General features: G+C 37.2%; 1 protein-coding gene across 51 annotated transcripts in view; it reads right to left on the bottom strand.

Moving 5' to 3' along the window:
* The window catches only part of WNK1 (WNK lysine deficient protein kinase 1), a 158874-nt gene that overhangs the window by 28251 nt on the left and 105912 nt on the right, over positions 1–24711 (bottom strand). For 4 of the 51 annotated variants that reach the window (XM_011520997.4, XM_011521000.3, XM_011520999.3 and 1 more), the window contains exons 6-16: positions 23738–23957; positions 21859–22189; positions 20932–21119; positions 14098–15336; positions 11854–11937; positions 4841–4990; positions 3171–3629; positions 2203–2481; positions 1413–1510; positions 1129–1291; positions 143–259 (exon numbers count right to left, since the gene is read on the bottom strand). In XM_011520997.4, the coding sequence (XP_011519299.1) occupies positions 143–259; positions 1129–1291; positions 1413–1510; positions 2203–2481; positions 3171–3629; positions 4841–4990; positions 11854–11937; positions 14098–15336; positions 20932–21119; positions 21859–22189; positions 23738–23957 (3328 nt within the window). Of the gene's footprint in view, positions 1–142; positions 260–1128; positions 1292–1412; positions 1511–2202; positions 2482–3170; positions 3630–4840; positions 4991–11853; positions 11938–14097; positions 15337–17837; positions 18093–20931; positions 21120–21858; positions 22190–23737; positions 23958–24711 lie in introns of all 51 variants that reach the window. The other 47 variants (XM_017019837.2, XM_047429400.1, XM_047429395.1 and 44 more) reach the window with 22 other exon arrangements.

Genomic DNA, 24711 nt, shown 5'->3' with positions numbered 1-24711 from the left:
GGGTGTGATAGTTTTATTCACATTGAAGTAAATGCATAACTTTAAAAAAACATGGATTATAAAATATGGCATATTTGCCTAGAGCAATGGCTATTAAGATCAAGTACTAAGGAAAAACCTAGAACTCCAAATGCAGACGTACCATAATTGTTGCTATCTCCTCGGGGTTGTCACCATCTAGGTCAAATTTGAATGTAACCATTTTCCTATTATGAGTCTCTAATTGACATTCTACTACTCGGTCTCCTTTATTTGAAACCTAAAAAGAAAAAAGGTACATCATCTCCAAAGACCATATTCAGCTTTATTACTGAATTTCAGAAAAGCAATGCAGATTAGCACTTGACTTTATGTCTAAGGAAGCATAGTGTTATCGCTGTTCCTTGGAGCACTAGTACTTTGTCTCTTAAACTGGTAGCAAGAAAAATCTTTGAGAAGACGTTAGCCTTTGAGCTACTTACTAAAACTCTCTATTCTTTTTCTAAAAGATAAGTAGTGCTTTATCATAGAAATATGGAATGTAAGAATATCATTTGGCTAATTATAAGATCCTATACATTCATCAATTCATCTAAGCCTTAAGAAATATTTAAATGATATTAACTGCTGGCCCTATCATAGCTTTATGAACTACCTTTTCATTTTTCTAAAAATGTGATATTTAAGTCAAAGAGACTGTGGGCATGAAATGAGAAGAGTACTATATAAATTATCTGGCTGGGTGCCTGTAATCCCAGTGGTTTGGGAGGCTGAGGCAGGTGAGTCACCTGAGGTCAGGAGTTTGAAACCAGCCTGACCAATATGGTGAAACCCTGTCTCTACTAAAAATACAAAAACTAGCCGTGCGTGGTGGCACGTGTCTGTAGTCCCAGCTACTTGGGAGGCTGAGGCAGGAGAATCGCTTGAACCCAGGAGGCACTGCAATCACAGTGAGAAGAGATCATGCCACTGCACTCCAGCCTGGGCGACAGAGCGAGACTCCGTCTAAAAAAAAAAAAAATTATCTGTCACACACAGATAGTTATCTTTATTTTATGAAGTGAGTGGTTTGGATTTGATGACCTCTAAAATCTTTTTCAGTGTCAAATTCCTTTAACAACATGAAACTCACAAATTAGGAATACTTACATTCAAAATTCTTAATTTTGGGCGTGAAGTTTTTTCATGTCGAGAGCGACTCCTTACAGATTTTCGGTAATGCCGTTTTGTAGTTCTTCCTTCATGCCTTCCACTGGAAGATGGGACGTTCTCATTGCCATCACTCATACCTGAAGCAACATCTGAATGTGCACTTTGAAATTTAAAAAGAAAAAAAAGTGCAGTTTATAATATGAGATTTAAAGGTCTGACAGTTTGGCGTTTCATACCGTCTTATTTACCAGTCAAGGAAGGAGAATTCTAGTTTTACGTACCTGTCTACAGAGGAAGCCAAAGTGGTCGGCTGGGTAGCTTGGGTCTGTGCTACTGCAACTGGCTCTGCAGGAGCAACCTGAGAGACTCCCTGAGTACTCTGTGAATCGAAAAGATAACTCAAATCTCGGTAGTAATAGATTTATCATTCACTATCCCCAATAATCTACTTATTTTTTTCCTTATCCCTCCCCACTACGTCCTAGAAGCACTAAATTTACTAGTAAATTCTCAATATTCAGCATCTAGAGATAATGGTCTTAAAATTCCAAAGGAAGTTGCTAAAGCTAGTCTCTGGTATAGACTGCATGGTATGAGGTCAGCCAACATATCTGCTAGGCAGTGTGAACCTACAACTTGCCATGCAGCCAGCATCTTACCAAGAGTGTGCAATAGCGCAGACAGAGCATAGTACAAAGATGAATTCAGATCTTCTCCTAGCAGGGCAAAAATGATTGCTGAGAGCACAGGAGGGTAAGATACTCTTATGACTGCCAATGGAAAAAGTTTGTGAAAGGACAAGAATAATGGCTAAAGTACTAGCTAGAGAAGTGAAGTGCTAATAGGGTTCATCTTCTCCAAGGCACACTCACTTCCCAACAGAACAGCCAGTGGAAACAAGGACCCCACATTGGCATTTCATTCTGCTGTAAGAAAAAGTCATGCAGAAGTTAGTTTGACATGGTCTCCAAATAAGTTCTAAACCAGGGGAGCCTGTTTCTTTCTCCTTTATCATTGTTGTCCAATTACATATATACGTTTTACATATAAACATGCAGTAATTCTATTTACCTCCAAAACTGCTTGCTGGGAGGATGTAGTGGGGGCTTGTGCTAAACTCCCTCCTGGCTGGGACACTTGAACCTGTCCTCCTACACCACCCATAGGAACTAAAAGATTTGATTCCACATAAGGCTGCACCACTGTGGGAAAGTACCCAGGTGTAGCCAGTACTTCTGTCGGCATGGGAGGGGATAGGACTGTAGAATGGATGCAAACAGAAGCCACGTTGGAAGAGGGAGCAATATTTGAATCTCCTGGGTACTGTGGTGGCAGTCGAGGTGGGAAGCCCTGTGACAGAAATGAGGAAGGTGAGTTAGAGCAGGTTGGGGGTCAATAAATTAGCAAAACAGCAAGACATGCAAAAAAAAAAAAAAGAAGCACACAGCAAAGAAGAATAGTAGCCAATCTCTTTCTAATAATCTAAAGGGCATATAAAGACCACATTCTTGAAATGAAGTAGTAGACTGGTTCCAACAGAAGAGACAGGACTCTACAATACTACTTTATTGTCGGTTATCTTCACCTAGAGATGATTTAAATAGGAGGAACACAATTTCTTCCTAGCCAATCTTAAATGGAAAAATGCAAAAATTCTTCCACATAACAGTCATATCATGAAATGCTAATTTTCCCAGTCTAAACCCCGAAGCTTTTTGTTGATACCATGTTGGCTATTCTATTTATTCTACCCATATATGTAAAAGTTGCCAGGTGTACTATTAACCACATCTAGCATTCAATCAGCTTACAGTGAATACTGAGAGAACCATTTTTCTCTGAAGAAGTGTCTTGAGAAAAATGGATCAGGAATCACTGAACATCATTATCCAATCCTTTCTCAGAATTTTACTATTTTGCTTCTCTAGTTGACATGTTATTGCTAGTTATTCTGACACTCAACTATTAGATTTCCATGTTCCTGATGATCTACTAGGATCAAACTCTGTGGTGCCCTCTTTTGCTAACTAACACAATACCTGGTACAGAACATCTCCAGAGGAAAGTGGAACCTCAGCAGCTTGTCCAAGGTTAGCTGGTATTCCCATGGACTGAACTGCTGGTTGTAGGAGCTGTGGGTGAACCTGACTTGGCAGCTGAGTCACAGGCTGCAGAAGGGTTGGAAGCTGACTAGGAACCACAGTTGATACCCCCGGGATCGCAGCTGTTGTAGCAGATGAAGCCAACGTGAGCAGAGGCTGAGTAATGCCAGCTGCCATTGTGATGGGAAGGGATGAGAAACCTGTCTGAGCCGTAGACACATGAGGAGTTGATATGGGAATCTGAGAGACAGGGTACTGAGGGAGCAAGGGAGTAGGGAGCGGCTGTCCCACTGGAAGGAAATGAGCACCAGAGTGGACTGGAACAACCGAGGGTTGTGTCGCAACTGGGATCTGAGGTTCGCCTTGGATAGTTGGTACTGGCTGGGAAACTGGAAGCTGGGAAGGTAAAGAAAAACAAAACAGACAGGCTTAAAAAAAAAAAAAAAAAAAAAAAAGCAAGGCTGCCAAAAGCAAGATTTATGTATTAGCCAAAAAGAAGGAAAAAACAAACAAAAAAAAAAACACCAAACCAACAAAACCCTGCATACATTAGTGTTAAGTTAATATGCCACATAAGAATATGGAAAGGAGAGCAGGAGAGAAAGAGGCTAAATAGACTATTACTGTTCTACACCTTTTGTCATAGAAATATTTGCTAATGCTTCAGCATTTGGCAATAGAAGAGGACCCTTCCATAGACAAGGGGTTGGCTTTTTTTTTTAACAGCTTTATTGGAATATATTTTATATACCATAATGCTATCACTAAAGTTACGACTGCTGTTACAGTAGTTACTGAAATTCAAATGAATTCCTTCCCAGTGGAATTAAGATTTCATTCGTATTATTTCTAAAATTCTTAAGTCCAACATGGCTCAATAAAAATTGGTATAATTCACATATTTCACTCATTCTAGGATGCAATCATCCCTCTCCACTACCTGATCATTTTAACATGTGAGAAATTGGGATCTACTTTATAACTGATAATGTGGTACATAAAATATGGTACATTTTAAAGTTGATAGCATCTCAGATGTGATGAAATATTAGGGTAACAATACACTGTGCACATACATGCACAACAGTACTCAAAAATAAAGTTGAAAAAAGGTCATTCAGAAAAGCATACCTTCTACAGGGTACTTCTCAAGTGATTAGGAGGACTACTTAAGAAAAAAAAACATTCCACACAGTAAACAGTGCAGAAATCTACATGAAAATAAAGCATAGTTTCAAACCTAGAATATCAGACATAGCTGACACAATTCTAGGGAATGTCATAGGTTCAGTTACCAGAGCACCTTTATTTAACCTGTTATTTCTAATACCTGTTACATCAATTTTGGACTGGTAAGACTAGAAGTGAAACTTTGGATTGTCACTGCTGTCAGTAACGTACCCATTTACATTAAATAATGCATATGCACCAATGAGGTGATCTTCACTTCATTTCTGCAATGAGATTAACCTACTTCAAGGGTTGGTTACCCTTAGAAGAAAAGGTAGAAGTCTATCCACATGAAAGGACAAGTTACATGGAAATCCCTTTTAGCACCCTTTCAGAAATTAAGAGTTTACCTGTTTAAAAAAAAAAAAAAAGTTTACCTGTTTTCCAGCTGATACTTGAGGCAAGACTTGTGGAGCTTGAGGCTGACTCACTGGCTGTGCAGTAGTGGCCTCACTGGAGGTTGATGTCTGTGAAAGTGAATACTGCACTGTCTGTTGAGGAGGGGCTGTCTGCTGTATTCCCTGCTGCTAAGAATAAAATACAATGATTCAGTTTTATTTCAAATCAATAACAGCATGTTTCTAAGGAAGCATGTTTACCTAAAGCCTTCAGTGTCTGTAAATAATGATGATTTTAGTAATCAAGACATGCACAAACCCAAATTCATCAATTTCCATTATATATTTGTTTTCCCTCTGATGTTCTTTGTGATGGTGCCACCAGGAAAAATTAACCAATCTTTTAATACTCAAGTTACCATTGGCTCTTCACCCAATTATCTCCCTCACCCCAACAATAGGTCTTTACAAAGACATTTACATAACATATCCAGACAGTTCCTTTCCCCATCCCATCCCTGCCATTCCCTTTTCCCTATCTCTTGGCATCAGCTCTCTCTTTGGCACCTATATCAGATAGATCCAATAGCTTCCTTTAATCTTTTTTCCTTACCCTATTTTATCAACTGTATAATTAATATGCTTGAAGAATAGCTTTGATTATAGCTACAAAATAGGGAGGAAAGCACTGGATTTGGAATAACAGACATTTTCAAATTTTAGCTTTAATATTTACTAGCTGTTAATGCCTTAGATTGCTTATTTTATTAAAAAAATGAAGTTTCTCTTTTTGAAACAAGGACATTATTTTTTAACTCAAAGTGGGGCAAAGGGAATGACACCTGGGAATCTACTATGTACTAGGGACTCAAGTATAATTTAATGCATGGTGCGTAATTATACACCTAATTTAATGCATGGAACATAACTGTACTCGAATACTAAATTCTGTAATAAATCAAGCAAACAAAACCAAACAAAACAGGACTATGACCCCTAGAGTACTGCCCCTTCTGTCTAACAAATAAAAACTTGAGGCTGGGCGCGGTGGCTCACGCCTGTAATCCCAGCACTTTGGGAGGCTGAGGTGGGCAGATCACCTGCGGTCCAGAGTTCAAGACCAGCCTGACCAACATGGAGAAACCCCATCGCTACTAAAATTGCAAAAAATTAGCCGGGCGTGGTGGCACATATCTATAATCCCAGCTACTCAGGAGGCTGAGGCAGGAAAATTGCTTGAACCTGGGAGGCGGAGGTTGCAGTGAGCCGAGATTGCACCATTGCACTCCAGCATGGGCAACAAGATCGAAACTCTGTCTCCAAAAAAAAAAAAAAAAAAAAAAAAAAATGAAGTTTAGGGCTGACTTTCAAGATCTTCTAATACCTAATTTATATTTTTTCTTTAATACAACATCTGCTTGTAATAAAAATTTTAACTAGTACATCATATTATAAAGTTAATGAAAATACCCCTAATCCTATTCTCCAGAGGTAACCACTATTAGTCGTTTGGTGCATAACCTTCATGGATTTTTTTCTATGCGTAAGTGGCCATTTTCACATAGTTTTCTTTTTTTGTTAAAATAAACAAAACAAAAACATGCCTTTCCTATACATAGTGTTCTATAGCATACTACTTTAATTTCTAAATGGCATCAGTCTCCTAATGATAAACACTTTGGTTGTTTCATTTTTGCTACTTAAAATAATGCTGCAACCAACAGCCTTTTACGTATGTGCTGGTATACCCATACGACTAATTGGTTACTGCTGGTATAAAGATAAGCTATTTATTTGTACATTTATTATGTATCTTGCCACCTTGATAAGTGTCTTAGATTTTGTTAGGTGATAATCTACAAATAATATTTTTGCTCTTCTTATATTTATGTCAATTAAAATCACCAAAAGAATGCTAAAATATAATGGCAACAGCAGTCATGTTTGGTTTATTCCTATTTAATTATTTCTGATAATGTATTCTTTTTTTTTGACACGGAGTCTCGCTCCGTTGCCCAGGCTGGAGTGCAGTGGCGCGATCTTGGCTCACTGCAAGTTCCGCCTCCCAGGTTCATGCCATTCTCCTGCCTCAGCCTCCTGAGCAGCTGGGACTACAGGCGCCTGCCACCACGCCCGGCTAATTTTTTGTGTTTTTAGTAGAGACGGGTTTTCACCATGTTAGCCAGGATGGTCTTGATCTCCTGACCTTGTGATCCGTGCACCTCGGCCTCCCAAAGTGCTAGGATTACAGGCGTGAGCCACCGCGCCCCGGCCTCTGATAATGTATTCTTATTTTAACTTTTAAAGAAGCAGAAATGGCTGCTGAATTACATGAAATTTATTTTCTGCAAACTAAGATAAACCACATGTAGCCAATTCTAAAGGTGCTCTGAATATAAGACAAATTTGTTAATTTCCCACCTGAGAAAAAGGAACTAAAAAACCAGAAAACCTTTTTTATTTGCCAACTTGAACAAATTTAAACTTTAAGGAATGTGAATGAGATATCTATAATTATCTAACTCATTAATTTACACACGTAAATAAGATTGCATATTAAATATATTAATTCAGAAATACTGCTCCCTCTCCCCCAAACTCTACATAGGTAAAGACACCAGCATCTTTACCTTCACTGAAGCTAAATTATGAACGCTCCTGCAGTTTTCTGGCATAACATAACACATTCCATCTAAGTTGTATCTTCAGGTAAAATGTGCAGTGAAAAGCACCTATTTACATAACATTAAAATAAAACTAGATTTTTTTTTCCTTTCTCTTATAGGTTTTTATTCATGTAACCCTTATATTGACATCTTAAAGAGATCTTTAAGCCAGTTGTTTAAAATCACATACAGTCCTCAGAATAGTGAAGTCATATTGCTGAGAATAAGGACTAAATTTATGTTTATTCCTTAAAAATATTCTGTCTGATGTTCTCAATGAACATTTCTAACTACATGAGCTGAAGTCTTTGCAGGCACATTTGTTCTCACCTGTTTCATTTTATTTCATTAACCTTTTTTGGTTTGTTGTTGTTCAAAGTAAAGGACAGTGAAAACCCTGTAATATGAGAGTACGATAAAGGTCTGAATACATGGTTATTCCCCTCTTTTCTAACGGATAAATTTGAGGAAGAATTCCCATGTTATCTTTGGGCATATGGTAATCATATGCTCCCAGCCCCCAATACATCCTCCTTAATTCAAAATTATGCTCATATCAAAATTTAGACTCTATCAACTCTTTCCTGAACTTATACCTTCACATATCTATGCTCTAGTTAAACCAAACTAAAGGCACATTTGTTTTTGTACCCTATTTTTCTATCTTAGGGCCTTTCACATTGCTCACAGTATAATTTTTTTATCTTCTGGCCTGGAATATTCTTTATTTCTACATCTGAGTCTAACTTATAATCAAAGTCCATTTCAAATGCCTCCTTTTTCCTAAAGTCTTCCTGATATTCCCTTTCCTGCTTGGGAGAGATGTTAATTTCTTCCCTTTTTTTGGACATAATTGGGTAGTAGTCAAATGGTGAGCTGTGGAATTAGATTATTTGGATTTAAATTCTGTTTTTACCTCTTATAAGCTGTAAGTTTGGGTAAACTACTCACCTTCTCCAGATCTCAGCTTTCCCATCAGTAAAATGGAAATAATTATAGCATCTATACTTATAGGGTTCTTAAAACGATTAAATGAGAATGTAGGTACAATGTACAAAGCACTTTAATATTAGCTATTATCCTTATTTGTTTTTTAGAAATTTACATATATATTTACTATATTATTTAGACTCTTTCAAAGTAGTCATACCTGGTCCAGCTCGGTAGACCTTCAGTATCTGAACTCAATTAGGAAAAAAAGCTGAAAGGACTGTCAAAAATGAGCAGTTTTATGGACAAATTATTTCTTTGCTTAAGACAACTGAGAGGCATCTATGACAGTGACCCTTGTATTAACATCTTAAAGAGATCTCTAAACCAGTTGTTTACAATGGCTAACGGTTAATGTTACATCTTAGAGCATCTGGGGAGAAGTGTCACCTCTGGATATGCCAGAAGTACATGATGATCTGCTGTGCGCAGTCCCACTGACTAATAATCAGCACTTCAGCCAGGCAGGGGTGGTCTAGCTTAACAGTTTAGCATCATGCTCTGCCCAAGCTTGCCTCATGAAACCAGTTCAAACAGACTTTATGGATAGTAGGGTAGGTAGTTCACAACTTCGGTGCTTTTTTTTTTTTGAGATGAGTCATGCTCTGTTGCCCAGGCTGGAGTATGGTGGCAATATCATAGTTCACTGTAGCCTTGAACTCCTGGGCTCAAGTGATCTTCCTGCCTCAGCCTTCCAAGTAGCTGGCACTGTGTCTGACAAAGTTCACAACTTTGTTTGTGGTCACAAAGCTTTTCAGCAGGAGGCAGCTATTTTTGGTACCTTGCTAAGATCTAGTATATCACTATACGAGACCCTACAAAAACACACAAAAAAGCAATTCCTCATTTACTATGTTCAAGAAACGCATGAAATAAAGTAAATTTTAGCAAAAGTATATTTCTTTCCTCACTAAAATAAAACAAGAGATATGGTTCTCTAAGGTGGGATTGGGACCTGAAAGTACGTAAAACAAAAATCATGTCTAAAAATAGACTATCCATATAGTACAAAAAGTTTTCAACCTTTCTTTTTTCAAACGTGGAACTCCAATAATTAAAACAAATAAAGACAGCTTCTGAGGTACATTTGCAGAATCATTAAGTCCCTGCAGAACTTTATTTAAAATGGAAGAAACAATACTATTCTAGGAATCTTGAATTCTGGGTTATAATTTGTAGCTCCCTTATTATCTAAGTGACTTTGGAGAAGTTAATTATTCTAGACCGAATACACTTCCTATATATATCGAGGGCTCAATTTTGTGATTCTACAACACATGCTATAAAAGTATCTAAAACAAAAACATCACTGAAACAAAAATTAATTTTTGTTTCTGCTGTAGAGATAGCATTTAGCCATATTTTTTTCTCCTGGAGAGGTAGCTACCTAATTCTTTTAATCTGACATTTATGGTACTGCTCTCTTCTTTTCTCACACTCTTTCTTAACATGAAACTCAATGAATTATTTTATTATCTTCTTCATTTGATAGTAAGTATACATACATATCCCCAAATACAAGACAGATAACCAATTCCTTTGGAAAAGAAAAAACAGAGCACATACAATTTGCTCAGTTCATTGGTGTTCGTCTACATCCAAAGATAAGCAAGTTAGGAGATTAGTACTCAGTACTTCCATTCTCAACCAGCTTTATGTGACTTGTAATTTGCATTCTAATTAGGAACTGTTAATAGAATAAAACAGATTTTGTTAAGGTTGGCAAAAATATGTTTACTTGAATTTAACCAGTCTTGTTTGGAAGAAAGGACAGGTGCAAAACAAAGCATATAAGTCCCAGTCCTTCAGTTCACGGAGTGAATGCATGTATAAACAAACTAATCAACTGTTTCTGTAGAAAGTGCCTTTAAGTGATTTTCATCTTGTACAAGCAACTCCTGATCTTAAACCAGTATCGAATGACTACATGACCATATGTTGGACTGAAAAAGGGCCATTTGTAATTAAGAACCGAAAACTTTGTTTCAAAACCAAAAACTAATAGAAACAGAAGCCAGTTTAGAGTTTGCTGATTAAAAAACCCACATGGGGAACTAACATTAGGAAGTTTGCATTACATACATAGTGGCTACAAATTTTATGTAGAATAGCTAATAAGTATTCAATTATGCCAAAAATGCATTATTCCCTTGCAAATAATTACTATTAACTAATATCAGTGATGCACTATAAATATTTAATTTTAGAATTACCAGTTTTACTGTTGGATGTATCAGGATGACACTAATCTCTTGAATTCCTTGAACTTTCTGGAACAAGCCCCCCAAAACAAAAGTTAAAATATTTTGGCTGGGCACAGTGGCTCCCAGCACTTTGGGAGGCCAAAGCGGGTGGATCACTTGAGGTCAGGAGTTCAAGACCAGCCTGGCCAACATGGTGAAACGCCATCTCTACTAAATTAGCCAGGCATAAGTAGAACGTAATACAAAAATTAGCTGGGCATAGTGGCACGCGCCTGTAGTCCCAGCTACTCGGGCGGCTGAGGCGTGAGAATAGCTTGAACCTGGGAGATGGAAGTTGCAGTGAGCCAAGATTGCACCACTGCACTCCAGCCTGGGCAACAGAGCAAGGCTGTCTCAAAATAAATAAAAATAAATAAATAAATAAATGTTCTTGAAGTAATTGTTCTTAGGTTTTCATTAGATGCTTCTTAGCGTAAAATCTGACACATCATTCTACAGATTAGAAATAATTAAAAAGAAGTGCAGGATTAGTAGAGGCAAGCACAATGAAGGTAATGACAAATCACTGCTGCAAGCAGTGGAAAAAAAGAGAAAAGGAATGACATACTCTTTGTACCGTAAATTATGTGTAGAATCCAGGCTGGGTGAGGTGGCGCATGCCTGTAATCCCAGCACTTTGGGAAGCCGAGGAGGGTGGATTACCTGAGGTCAGGAGTTTGAGACCAGCCTGGCCAGCATGGTGAAACCCCGTCTCTACTAAAAATACAAAAATTAGCTGAGTGTGGTGGCAGGCACCTGTAGTCCCAGCTACGTGGAAAGCTGAGGCAGGAGGACTGCTTGAACCTGGGAGGCGGTGGTTGCAGTGAGCTAAGATTGCACCACTGCACTCCAGCCTGGGTGACAGAGTGAGACTTTGTCTCAAAAAAAAGGTGTAGAATCCTCTTTTAAAAAGATAATTATATCAGTAATAATGTATGTCTACTAAATTGTTCAAAAGTATATTAAACAAAAGAGATTTTTCTGAAACACAGAAAAGTCTCTTTTTTTTCTTTGTTACTGAACACAAGACATGGTATGCCTCTTAATTTTCCTTTCAAAAACTTAGCAGGCCATTTATATAACAAATCACAAAAGTTAAAATAGTGTTCTGGCCACTGCTAATTCATAAAATGTTGCAATGCATTGTTCTCACCTGCTGAGGATGTTGTATGGGTTGGGAAGATGAAACCCCTGTTAAGCTACTTGAGGATGGCTGACCCTGGCTCTGCCCCTGTGCCTGAAGGAAAGAAGTGAACACAACAAATTAGAGAAGGCCTAAAGTAAGTGTATAGAGGTCAGGCTTTTGCAATGAATATTTAATCTCCTCAGAGTTTGCTTGATCAAAATGAAACATTAACCTGATTATGTATGGGAGAGGCCTCTGGGTCAACTTTTGTAAGAAAAATTTAGAAAAGGATCATACCACACAACATGTTCTGATCCCAACCCATGCAAAACCCACTGACAGTGAAAACCTAAGCTGTCAATGCTGCTCAGGCTGTAATTTTAGCTGGCTAGAATCGTCAGATTCATAATAAAATTTGTTATTAGAAATACAATAATCAGGAACAAAGTATTAATACTATCAATCTGAAATTTATCTGAAGAATTAAAGAAAGGTATTTGGTAATGCTAATTTGGTAATACTTCTTGTAGTGCCACAATGACTTTTATCAAAAGTATCAAAAAATCTGTTATCATCAACTGCCAAGTACCTAGGGCGATCATTGCTATCCAGGAGCAATCCTGCCACCCCCAGGGGGGCACTTGGCAATATGTGGAGACATTTCTGGTTGTCACAACTGAGGGAGATTGCTGCTACTAGTATTTAGGAGGTATAAACCAAGGATGTTCTAAATAGCCTACAATACATAGAACAGCCCACCACAACAAAGAATTATCCAACCTCAGATGTCAACAGTGTTGAGTCTGAGAAACCCCAACTACAGTGTTTCTCACTAGAAAGTGAGAAATGATGCAGGACTATATATAGGTATGTTAACGAAATGAAAAGGCTACCACTTTTGTCATTCCATTTCAGTTTACAAGGGGTTCCTTAAAGCTTACATGGATATAATATCACATTCCACTGCAGCTTAACTATTATAAATATTGATTCCTTCTGTAGTATGTCTATAAATTAACTACCTGGTATTTTTTACTTTGGAAAGTCTAAAGGATAATTACTGGCAATACATTAATATTTATAATAGGGGCTGCAACTTGAATACTGATGTGAATATACTGCATGCCCATGTATAGCTGTCAAGCTTCTGGATCTTTTTGTGTCTTAGTACAGCACTAAATAATTGATAATTTGTGCACATTTTGGGAGTTGTTTATGCTCCTGATGAGGGAAGAACATAGGAAGAAAGTAGGAAGAACAACACATAGTACTTTATGTAGGATATCCAAATGTCTTCAATATATAACTGCATAGTCTTCTATGTAGATTTTATAAGATGTACACATTTGATAAAATATACCAAATGAATATATGAAACAGTAAACACTGACTGTACTTTTGAATTCTATTACATTCATTACATTGTCTTTATTTGCTAAGTGTGTATATGCTCATACACATAAATAACTAAAATTAAATTTGTTGAGGAAAATACAAGGCCTAAGATGTCTACTGTTCCTTAGCTTGCAACATATCACAAATTCTTATAACAAAAAAAAAAAGCCCACCACTCACTAGATTGTTAGTTGCTAAAAATTAGAATCAGTCCTTAATTTTATGAATTAGCATTTTATTTGGACATATAATAATGCACAGCAACTTGCTTGACTGATGCCATTTTAAAAAGGCATTTTCATTTGTTAAGGCAAATTCCTAAACTGTTTCCTTTTCTATCTTTTTTTATTCCCATGATATACTTTGTCTTTTTAGATCCTTCGACACTAATGAAAATTCTGTGTATTATTAATATTACCTCAAAAACAGCATTCCCTATTTTCCATGTTTTATATTTTATAGAAAAAAAATTTATCCTATTTTTTAAAAACTTGTTTGGAGGAAGAAAGTAATACTTAAGATTTGTATTCCTAAATAATGCTGGGTCAACCATACATTACATACACTTGCATTTTCACTACTGGTTGAAAATAACGTGCATAGAAGTCGTGATTGTGAAGAATGACTAAAATTCTAGTTTTTGTGTTTTTTCCACTGGTTTTCACATATAATAGGTAAATCAGGTAGCTTCTCTCACATTTTGTTTTTAAATGCATATATGTAGTTCACAACCCCCCAAAGATGGGGAAACTCTACTGATAAAATTAAACAATATTTCTCCAAAATCCATGATTCAGGGAAATAAGGAATAGAAAATTTAAATGTTATGGTGCAAAGTAGGGTAGTTTAAAATAATTGTGGAAGTTTTCCTATAACCTGTGGATGAAGTGCAGATCCTCCTGAAGAAAATGAGGCAGTTAAGACCTGCTGAGATGTGGTTCCTTGGGGGAAACAGAAGAAAAGTGGGGATTCTTGTAACACTGTCTGAGGCAGATGGATAAAGGGCATTGAGACGTCAGAGCCAAAAGGTGCAGCTGCTCCCCCTGTAGGGGGAGGTGACTGAAAATCACTGGGGTCTGAAGAAGTGATTTGTGAGGAATCACTGGAATATTCTGGGCTTCCTATTGGCCAGTTCTGTCCGATAGGCTCTACCACAGAAACGGTCAATTCTGGGGCATGGTAATTATGCTTTTCTTCAGTCACAGGCTGCAAGTAGCCATGTAATCCAACTGATTGAGGAGGCAGTTCTTCTTGATTCAAGTCCACTGCAACCTGCCGATTTCGGTAAACACGCTGAGGTAAAATTCCACCTCCTTCTCCTGAAGAGGAGCTTGGTGTGTGAACATGAAATTCAAATACACAGTTGCTTCTGCTCTCATTGTTATGAGTTAACACAGCAGGCGCAGAATGAGGAACAAAGACAGGGTGAAATTTCAAACGTGTAGCATCTGTACTGATAGGTGCAGAAATACTAGAGAGGGGAGATCCCGGACCCAATCCAGAATCTAATCTTAGATTCTGAAGGTGTCCTACCAGGAAAGCCTGTCCAGATGGAAATTCAAAGACAGAACTTGAAGTAGGGCCCCCTTGTACTGGCTTCTGTTCAGGTATCTGTTTCATAGGACTTGACAGTACTGATGAGTTGTATGGAATGCCCTCATACTGTTCTGCCACCCGGGCCTGGTAATGTACCCCAGCTACATACACTGCTTCCTGAGGAATAAAATAGTGAGCTTCTTCTGGAAGTACTAGTCCAGGTCTATAGTCACTGTAAACTTGAGATGGTTCAAACATAGGATGGACCTGTATCTCACATGACTCTCCAGTTACTCTACTGGCTGTAGTACCCAACATAACTACGGCCTCTGGTGTCCAGTTAGTTGGGCTGCCACCAGGTGGAAGAAGACTTTGGCCAACAGTCCTCAGCAGGGGTTGGAAGTGGTGAGTTTGGGCTTCCAGGAAGGAGGTGCTCTTACGCCGCTGGGAAATGGCTACTTTCGGTGGGCAGGTGGGAGGTGGTGAAAAAGAAACTGGACGTTCATGAATAGTTGGGAAAAATATCTGTGATTCTGGGTATGTTGGGGTCCCCCCACACGGATGCGCCATGGACTGAGGCTGTATCAACATGAATAAGACAAGTAATTCATACATTCATATGTGAAATTACATCAGACATGCACAACTGGGTAGTTCTGTGTAACCCTATGAAATGGTTACACTAAATTTATAATTAATAAATAAATAACAATGCTTCTGGAAATTATGTGCATAGTAAAAATCCATTAAATACATCCAGGGCCAATGAAATCAATCTGTGGGCTCTTTGCTTTAGATAAGAGCTGCTTTTCCATAACTTTCCTCTCTCAAAGGAAATGGAAGAATTAAACTTTGTAAGTAATTATTTCGTTTTTACCCACACTTAAAAAGTTCACTCTTAAGCATTAATGTAAATTACATCAACAGAAAAAGAGTTAAAGGAAGAGTAAGAACTAAAACAAGGCATAAAAGCCCGACTAGTTCTATACTGTAAGAAGTGTGCTTTAATTTAAACTATTGAACTAACTTTCCCTATATTCTTATTACCCTGTGATATGTTAGAGGCCTTCAGTTTTATTTTCTTATCAATTAATAGTATGCCTTCTAACCAGAAATCAGAAGAGATTTTTGGTGGATAGTAAAAGATATATAATTTGACTAGTGACAGTAATGTCTTTCTCCTATCTCTCCCAAGCTAGATGATTAATAGTTTTATTATATTTTTACTACATGAAACATGTTACAGAGTTAAATCACAAAATGTCCATTTTTCTGATCATAAATAAGAGTTGCATAACCATGAAATTTCTTTTTTCTTTTTTTTGAGATGGAGTCTTCCTCTTTCGCCCAGGCTGGAGTGCAGTGACAATCTTGGCTTACTGCAACCTCCGCCTCCTGGGTTCAAGGGATTCTTCTGCCTCAGCCTCCCAAGTAGCTGGGACTACACGCGTGCGCCACCACGCCCAGCTAATTTTTGTATTTTTAGTAGAGACACATTTCGCCATGTTGGCCAGGCTGGTCTCGAACTCCTGACCTCAGGTGATCTGCTCACTTCGGCCTCCCAAAGTGCTAGGATTACAGGCGTGAGCCACTGAGCCCGGCCGTAACCATGAATTTTCTGATTCTGACATCCTGGTGTTCTAATCAACTGAAAAGGGTAATATAAATGACAGCCAATTTTATTTGATAGCACTTTTTATTCTAGAAGCAGTTCTAGATTTAAGACTAAATTTAGAAACACAGCTTGCCAAATGCAAACAATATACACTATAATAATTCATTACCCGCTGGGCGCGGTGGCTCACGCCTGTAATCCCAGCACTGTGGGAGGCTGAAGGGGGTGGATCACAATGTCAGGAGATCAAGACCATCCTGGCCAAACATGGTGAAACCCATCTCTACTAAAATACAAAAATTAGCTGGGTGTGGTGGCATGCGCCTGTAGTCCTAGCTACTCGGGAGGCTGAGGCAGGAGAATCACTTGAACCCAGGAGGCAGAGGTTGCCGTGAGTCGAGATCGTGCCACTGCACTCCAGCCTGGCGACAGAGCGAGATTCCATCTCCAAAACATAAATAAATAAGTAAATAATAGTAAGAATTCACTATCACAGCCTCCCCCGCTTTTTAAAAGAATTCAGTTTCATTCTTCCATAGGGAAGATCCTTATCGAGCTGGCAAAGTAGATCAACTGTTCACAATAGCTAAATAAGGATTTCTATTTTCAGTCAGAATGCTCATTTTATTGTTATTTACTCATGGTATGTCTCAAAGCCATAATAACACTGTATAGTTCTTCATTCTCCTAAGTAAAAATCTGAAAATTCTGGGGTTGCTAGTTCAGAAAGTTAACTATATTCTTTATTTGGAAAAGCAGCAAGGACCCACATGCTTAAAATAATTTTATAAGATAGATCTTTTATAAACATTAATGGAGCCAAAGAAAGTCATACATACTATATATGCATCTAATGCATTCATTAGAGCTACAGTCCCACCTTAGGTTGAAACCTAAGGAAAAAATACTTCCATGGGGGAACATTATGTAGTTCTTTGGTTTGCTGATACATCATCTTACATAAATGATTAAATTAAAATAAATGTTCACTCCAAGGTTATTCTTTGCTGACTAAGGTTATTAAAAAAAAAAAGGACTCATCCAGTTTTATTAGTGTCTCCTTAGAATAAAGTGAGGAGAAAAAATGTTTGGGTAATGTTTGATAAAATTTGCTTTTGATTAAGGCAATAACTTTAAAATTAATCCTTTTAAAACTAGAATATGAAAATGAAAGAATTTTATGTCGATAGGAAACAGGAAGATATAATGAAAGGTAAATTTTATTGGACACATGCTGGTATGTGCCAAGGACATTATAGGTATTCTCTCTCATTACCTCCTTGCTTTTTATTCCCCCTTAAAGCCTTATTACAAAAAAGTTTCCTACAGGAATAACTGGTATCCTAGAAGCATAATATAACCAAGTTTAGTCCTGTTCTTTATTCAATTTTAATTAAAATTCTTGTTGCCTGGATGTATTCATTGGTAATAATTGTTCATTTGTCAGAAGTTTACAGTTACATACAGTACTGACAAAGAGGGAAGGCAGGCTGGAGCGTCGGTGCTTGCGCTGAGAGGCAGAGTGCATAGGCAGGACACTCTCCAATGCTTTAGAAAGCTTTTCGGCAAAAGTTTCCTCGGGGCAGTCCGGAGGAGGGAAGGAGAAAGAGGTGCAGACAGTACTGGCGGTGGGGTGGAAGAGCACTGGGAGAGATGCGGGACACAGAGGCAACAGCAGAAAGATGGGAACACAAACCGACATGCTACGGCCACGACGAGGCTCAACACAAAACAAACACACACATGAAAAACACAGTACTGTGAAAACAAAATAAACAAAAGTACAATGATAACAGGGCATAGTTGCATGAAGAAATGTTCCATCCTCTCCCAATTCCACAAAGTCAGTTTTTTTTTTGAGGAGAGCTATAACTCAACATAGCACATCTGACAGATCACAACTATTCACAACTATTCTGCGTTGTCAGTCAAGGACAGGTTTAATGAATGATCATGATAATGATCAGTTATCATGCTAAATATTCTGAAATAACACCAAGTGTTACAAGTGTATGAATTTAAGAATGACCAACTGACTGAAGGGTGCAGACAGGGAAAACAATGAATATTAGCTTGCAACTTTGGCAAACTTAAGATTCAACAAGAATGAATTCTATTAGTTTAAAGTACATTAAAAGATACAGAGAATTTTAAGATTGGATTATTTTGCAAGAGCTCTGGAAACCTCAGAAAAAGATTCTCATTTCTATTTTAGAAGACATGAGATGGAAAGTTGTTGGCTCACAGTATTTCTTATACTTGCCACTCTTTATTTGTAAAGGTAAAAAAGTCATGATCTACTAGGAAAAAGTTTAGCTTTCTAGAAGAAATTCACAACTGGATATAGGAAATATTTTGTACTTTTACAAAGTAATCAATGGGAGAATATCTTCAATCTGAATCTCTAAATAATAATTTAGGCCGGGCATGGTGGCTCACACCTGTAATCCTGGCACTTTGGGAGGCCGAGGCAGGTGGATCACTTGAGGTCAAGAGTTCAAGACCAGCCTAGCCAACACGGTGAAACTGTGTCTCTACTAAAAAAAATACAAAAATTAGCTGGGCGTGGTGATGGGTGCCTGTAATCTTAGCTACTGGGGAGGCTGAGGCAGGAGAATCACTTGAACCCAGGAGGTGAAAGTTGCAGTGAGCCAAGATCACGCCACTGTATTCCCACCTGGGAGACAGAGTGAGACGCTGTCAAAAAAAAAAAAAAAAACTTAAAAAAATGTTCAGGCACAGGGTTTAATATGGCTATAAGGCAGTATGATCAATACCATAAAGGTTGTCTTGAATAAGACTGTTATTTTCCTTTTAGATGTTGTGAACTATGAAACTATGTTTTCATTTCCAAAACTTGGCTGTGTAGAATGCTTTGGGCCAAATCTGTGGCCCACCAATACCAAGTATTTACATATCATCATATGATTGTTTAGTTTCATTCCTGTTTTGATTTCTCTCTAGCCTTATTTCTTTTATTCTAATTTCTAAAATTTCACTTATAATTTGTCCATATTATTGTAAGCCACATTCCTGAAATGAGACAAGAATAGAATTAGACAAATTTTTAAATTCTCAATATTTAATAATTCTTCATAATACCTCCATAGAATACTGTCATTAAAAAGCAAGAACGTCTGCTTTTAGAGCATCAATAAATATAGCTAGATTAATGGCTCAAATAATATCTTCATGTCATTCTACTTGCTTTCTAAAATAGAGACCTAATGCTCCCCCATGATGAGTATAGACAAGAGAAAATTTTAAAAAAAAAGTCTTAGCAAAATCTAGTTATAATAATCCAGAAAAAAAACAATTAAAGGTAGAAACTGACAAGAAATGCTGACAAGTAATATTTGTCAGAACACAGAAATATATTTTCTGTGCAGTCTTTATAAAGTTCTTCTATTCTACCCTCAATTATTTTAAAGACAGAAAGTAGATTGTTTTAAAAAGTTAGTATATTAGTTTTTTATTTGTGTTACTGTGGCCATTCATTTTGAGACCTAGCCAAAGCAGGATTAAACGGACTCTGAAACAAATGAACATCTTTTATTCCAAGCTGTAGGATAAAAAATCGAACAAGCAGAAGTATTTTCTTAACAGAGAAAGATTTTCATTTAAAGAAGAGCAAGAATTCCACAAAGTTTAGATTAAAAGCTTTCTGAGAAGGGGAAAATCTGTCTGCTTAAAGATCTCACTAAACAAGTGCTGTACAGTGACAAGTTACTTATTTTCTAATACCTTTCAGAGGCAGATGACGTATTTTATTTTCCTCTGAGGTCAACAAAAGAAATGGGGTATTATCTGATGATCTACTTTAACATTCTCTATATGAGAAACAAGAGTGTCTAATGTAAAACACAGGATAATTGTGTGTGTGTATGTGTATACAAGCATAAAATGTTTCAGGAAATAATTTCTATAAGTTGATTCTGAAAATAAATCAGTAATAAAACAGTTACCAACTAAAGGGAAAAAGCAAAAGAACATATACTGGGGAAGGAACTTGTGTCCAACACAGACTTTAAAAGGCAGGAACACACACAGCAACTGATGATTAACTCAACACAAGCGCTAAATTAAACAGTCATTCAAATAAAGGATTCCCTCAATCTAGAGTACTCACATGCAGCATTCTATAATGGTTTGAAGGTCTTACCTGTGTTTTGTACAATAGGGAATCTTACAGGAAATACTTAGTAATCATTTTAACAAGCTTTTGAAAAACTCTTCTCGCCCCACCCGCAAAACATTTGTATGTCCAGCTTTTGTTGCTGTGAATAGTTTCAACATCTTAAGTGCTAAAGAGAGCGTTCCCTTTAGTAAAAATGCAGACTAATCTAAATCTTGCACATAGCTGCTTCATGTAGGCAGTTCAGCTAATGCCCACACATTAATGTCTATATCCTACTCTATAATAAGGCTTTAGAGACACAGCATTTTATATTTTCTACTTCAGACTCATACTGTTACTTGGTTTGTACAAAGAATTTTAATTTAGCAGACTATCCATTGGCTCTCATTGTAGTATTACATGCTCTTAAGCATTTACTTACCACACTTGAGGGTGGATATACCCCATGGGGCTGAGACTGTGCTTGGACAGTAGAAGGTATATGCCCTGGGACTGTGCCTGTAGAATGTGCCTGTTCATGTTGGGAACCATATGAAACTGTCTGTTGGCTGCTCACTCGAGATTCTGTGAAGACAGAGGATCCCTGACCACTGTCAACCGTCCCATCAGCTGAAGGAAAAATGAATCGCCAAAAAAAAGAGAGAGAGAAAGACAAATCACAAAATGGAGGTTCACATTTTCTCATATTTAGACCCATTATATTAGGGGTAACTAGTTATTCCTTGCACAGATTTGAACTAAATAAAAAATGAATTGTAGCCATATTCAGTAGATTTCTATATTTAAATGAGGAATCCATATGGCTATCACAGAATCTTACCACCTGAGGAGTAAGGGAAACAGCATGAAACACTATAAGCCTTAAATTTGACACAGCTTTCAAAGTCTTAATTATGGAGGCCAGGAGGTTCTCAGTATTAAACAAGTAATTAAATTAATAACCAGTGTTCTCATTAGTTTTTAGTCTATATACCATTCAGCTTTGCTAAAAGAGCTCAACCAGACTGATGGGTTCAATTTTAGTAGCCAAGCTTGTTCATTCTTCATTATTAAATCTGTTTTATTTAAATAAATTGTGAAAAGTAGAAATCTACAAATTGAAACCTCCAAGATGTTGAAGCTTATAAAATTATTTTGTATCCTAATCACATTTCCTTACCACCCCATCCTTCTATTCTCCTAGTCACAGATATAAGAATAAAGAGAAGCTAGACGACAACCATTTCAAATTTTGTATAATAGTAGGATTCATAATTCAAAACCAAAAAGCCAGTGCAAAATAACAAGAAGCTAAAAAAACCAATTAGGAGAATCATTAGCCTATCTGTCCACTTCCCAAGATACGTACATAACACAGATATACTGGGTTGCTGGTACTGTAGTTGTTGATGTTGATCTGCCTCAGGTTCTTCAGGTTCTACTTGTGTAGAAACTGAAGCTGAAGTGGTAGAAGCAGTAGGTATGCCGGTGCTAGCAGAAGGGAGCTGCTTGATTCCTGTCTGGGAAGCACTGGATTGTTCTACCTGCTGTTTGAGACTGCTCTCTTCCTGCTTTTTTTTTTCTTGCTCCTCCCGTACCAACTGCCGCTGCTCTCGTTTCCTCTTAATTAATGATACTCTGTCTTTGATAGCTTTAGCCATGGTCTTGTGATCACCTTCACAGACATACCCAGACTCTACCTACAGAATAAAAGGGTAAATTAAGCAGTAGTATATTGAAAGAAAACAACACCCCCCACCACCACCCCCCGCCAAAAAAAAAAAAGGCATTGTAAAAAAAGTAGAGAAGAGGAGGAAGAAAGAATTCTCTCAGGACTGGCCTTAACCGAACTGTAAAATCTGCATTATGCATTTCCCTACCATCTTTGTAGATACTTGAGGGGTGGGTACCACCATTTTTGCAGAAACTCGAAGGGTAGGTATACCTTCACTCCTTATAACAAACAACGAAACAATAGGGCAACTAAAACCTCAGTTCCTAAACCAAGTAAGGTACTCTGTTCTATTCACTGTATTTCCCCCTCACACGTAACCACTAACATTAACCTGTGTTGATTTCACTTTCTTTTACAAGGCAACTACTTAATCTGCTAAAACAACTGTGGTACGAATATGAAGATTTAACACTGCTCCTCCCCTCCAAAAAAGCAAAAAAGCTCAGACAATACAAACAGCTAACAATTAAACATAAGTAACTCATACCTGATCTCCTCTCAGAGGCAACTACCACTTTTGAATGGTTCTGATAAATCCGAGTAGAGATATTCTGAGTTATCTTTCCATAATAATCAGCTATTTTGGGCACTATGGCAAGCATAAATTTGGGGAAGGGTTTCCTTATGGAAGAGTGATCTTTTAGACATACTTCAAATAATAATACATCAAAGGCTTCCTACTAGTATTTGATCAGGAAAACTCTCTTCAAAGTAAAAACAATTCATGGTCCTATGTCTGTTTATAGAGTTCATCCAGATAACTGATCAAAGGCTAATGTACCAATATGTAGAAACATAACTTGTCATTCTTAATGAATGATGCTTATACAAACTGGGAGTCACTCAATCTTACAGACTTTTCAAAATGACTTCGGAATGCATTCTACTAGTTCTACCTATCTATCTCATCTATCTATCCCTATGTATATATATATCTACATATTTTCTCAAAAATAACTTTTGGCCGGGCGAAGTGGCTCACACCTGTACTCCCAGCACTTTGGGAGGCTGAGGTGGGATGATCACTTGACATAAGGAGTTCGAGACAAGCCTGGCCAACATGGTGAAACCCTGTCTATACTAAAAATACAAAAATTAGTCAGGTGTGGTGGCACGTCCCTATGGTCCCAGCTTCTCGGCAGGCTAAGGCAGAAGGATTGCTTGAGTTCAGGAGTTTAAGGCTGCAGTAAGCTATGATTATCAGGCCACTGCACTCCAGCCTGGTGACAGAGCAAGACCCTGTCTCTCTCTCCATCAAAAAAAAAAAAAATTTACTTTTAAAAAGGACTATAAAATCTAACACCCATTATAAAAGCAATACAAAGAAGTTTAAAAAAAAAAAAAACACACACACACGAAAATCCCACTAATCAAAGATAACTTTTAGGGCCATCACAATTTTATGTCAATGGGATATGCCACACACGGCACTTCATCAACTGCTTTTTTGCTTAATGATAGTATTGATATATATAAGTCTAAATCAATTTTAAAATGGCTAATGTCAATTTACCATTTCTTGTGCAACATCTTCTGGGACATCTCTCTCTAAATCAAAAGAAAACTCAATAGCTTCATTATCTTTGTATTTTCCCTTTAATTTCTTAATATCTTCAATACGTAGCCATAATTTTATGGCTATTTTTTCTCCATCATCTTCTTCTGCTAATTCTACCCGTACTCCTGTTTCCTCTTGGAAGAAGGCATGGTTCAAAAGGTCTTTGATGGAATATCTTCCAAACAGAGGGAAAAGAAAAGGAACAAAAATAAAACACCATTAGTTTGAAAAAATAATTTTCAAATGTGGCCAATTATTGTTATTCGCAGAAGAAAAAAATGGGAAAAAATACAGGGGAAAGTATAACTCATTTTTACATTGCTGAATTTGAAGGGTGCCTACAGAGGTTTACTCTGAAGTTATAAAACATCATAACAATCTCATTCATGAATAAGAGCTGACAGTGATAATTTTTAAATCCAATGATCTCATTAGTAATAGTATACTAGTAATGGCGAGCTAACACAATTGTAACATAATTTTTAAATCCAATGATCTTATTAGTAATAGTATACTAGTAATGGTGGGCTAACACAATTGGCTCTATTAAAGCTTCAAAATACCACATGATCATTTATATAGCATTTTATAAGTAACACAAATCTTCATATTTATGATCTTGTCTGACCAACACCCAATTTGATATCATCTCCTGATTATTAGGAAATGGAGGCCCAGAAAGGTTGAGAATCTTGCTCACAGTTATAAAAGCTGTAAATGCTGAAATAGAAACTAGAAAATAAATATTTTTGTTTCTAGTTTGGTACTTTCTACCACAGCAAGCTTTATTTACACCAGTAAGTTCTCTTAATTCCTTGTTCAATAATTTGTGTACTGGGCAAGCAGAAGTCTGATTGTGAAACAATCTTAAGATAAAATGGTTTCAATATGCCAATCATCTAATAAACTGCTCCAACAAGAGTTGAAAC

Source organism: Homo sapiens, chromosome 12 (assembly GCF_000001405.40).
Source record: "Homo sapiens chromosome 12, GRCh38.p14 Primary Assembly".
Lineage (NCBI taxonomy): Eukaryota > Metazoa > Chordata > Mammalia > Primates > Hominidae > Homo > Homo sapiens.
The sequence above is the reverse complement of the archived record's forward strand: the minus strand, read 5'-3'. Positions and strand labels throughout refer to the sequence as shown.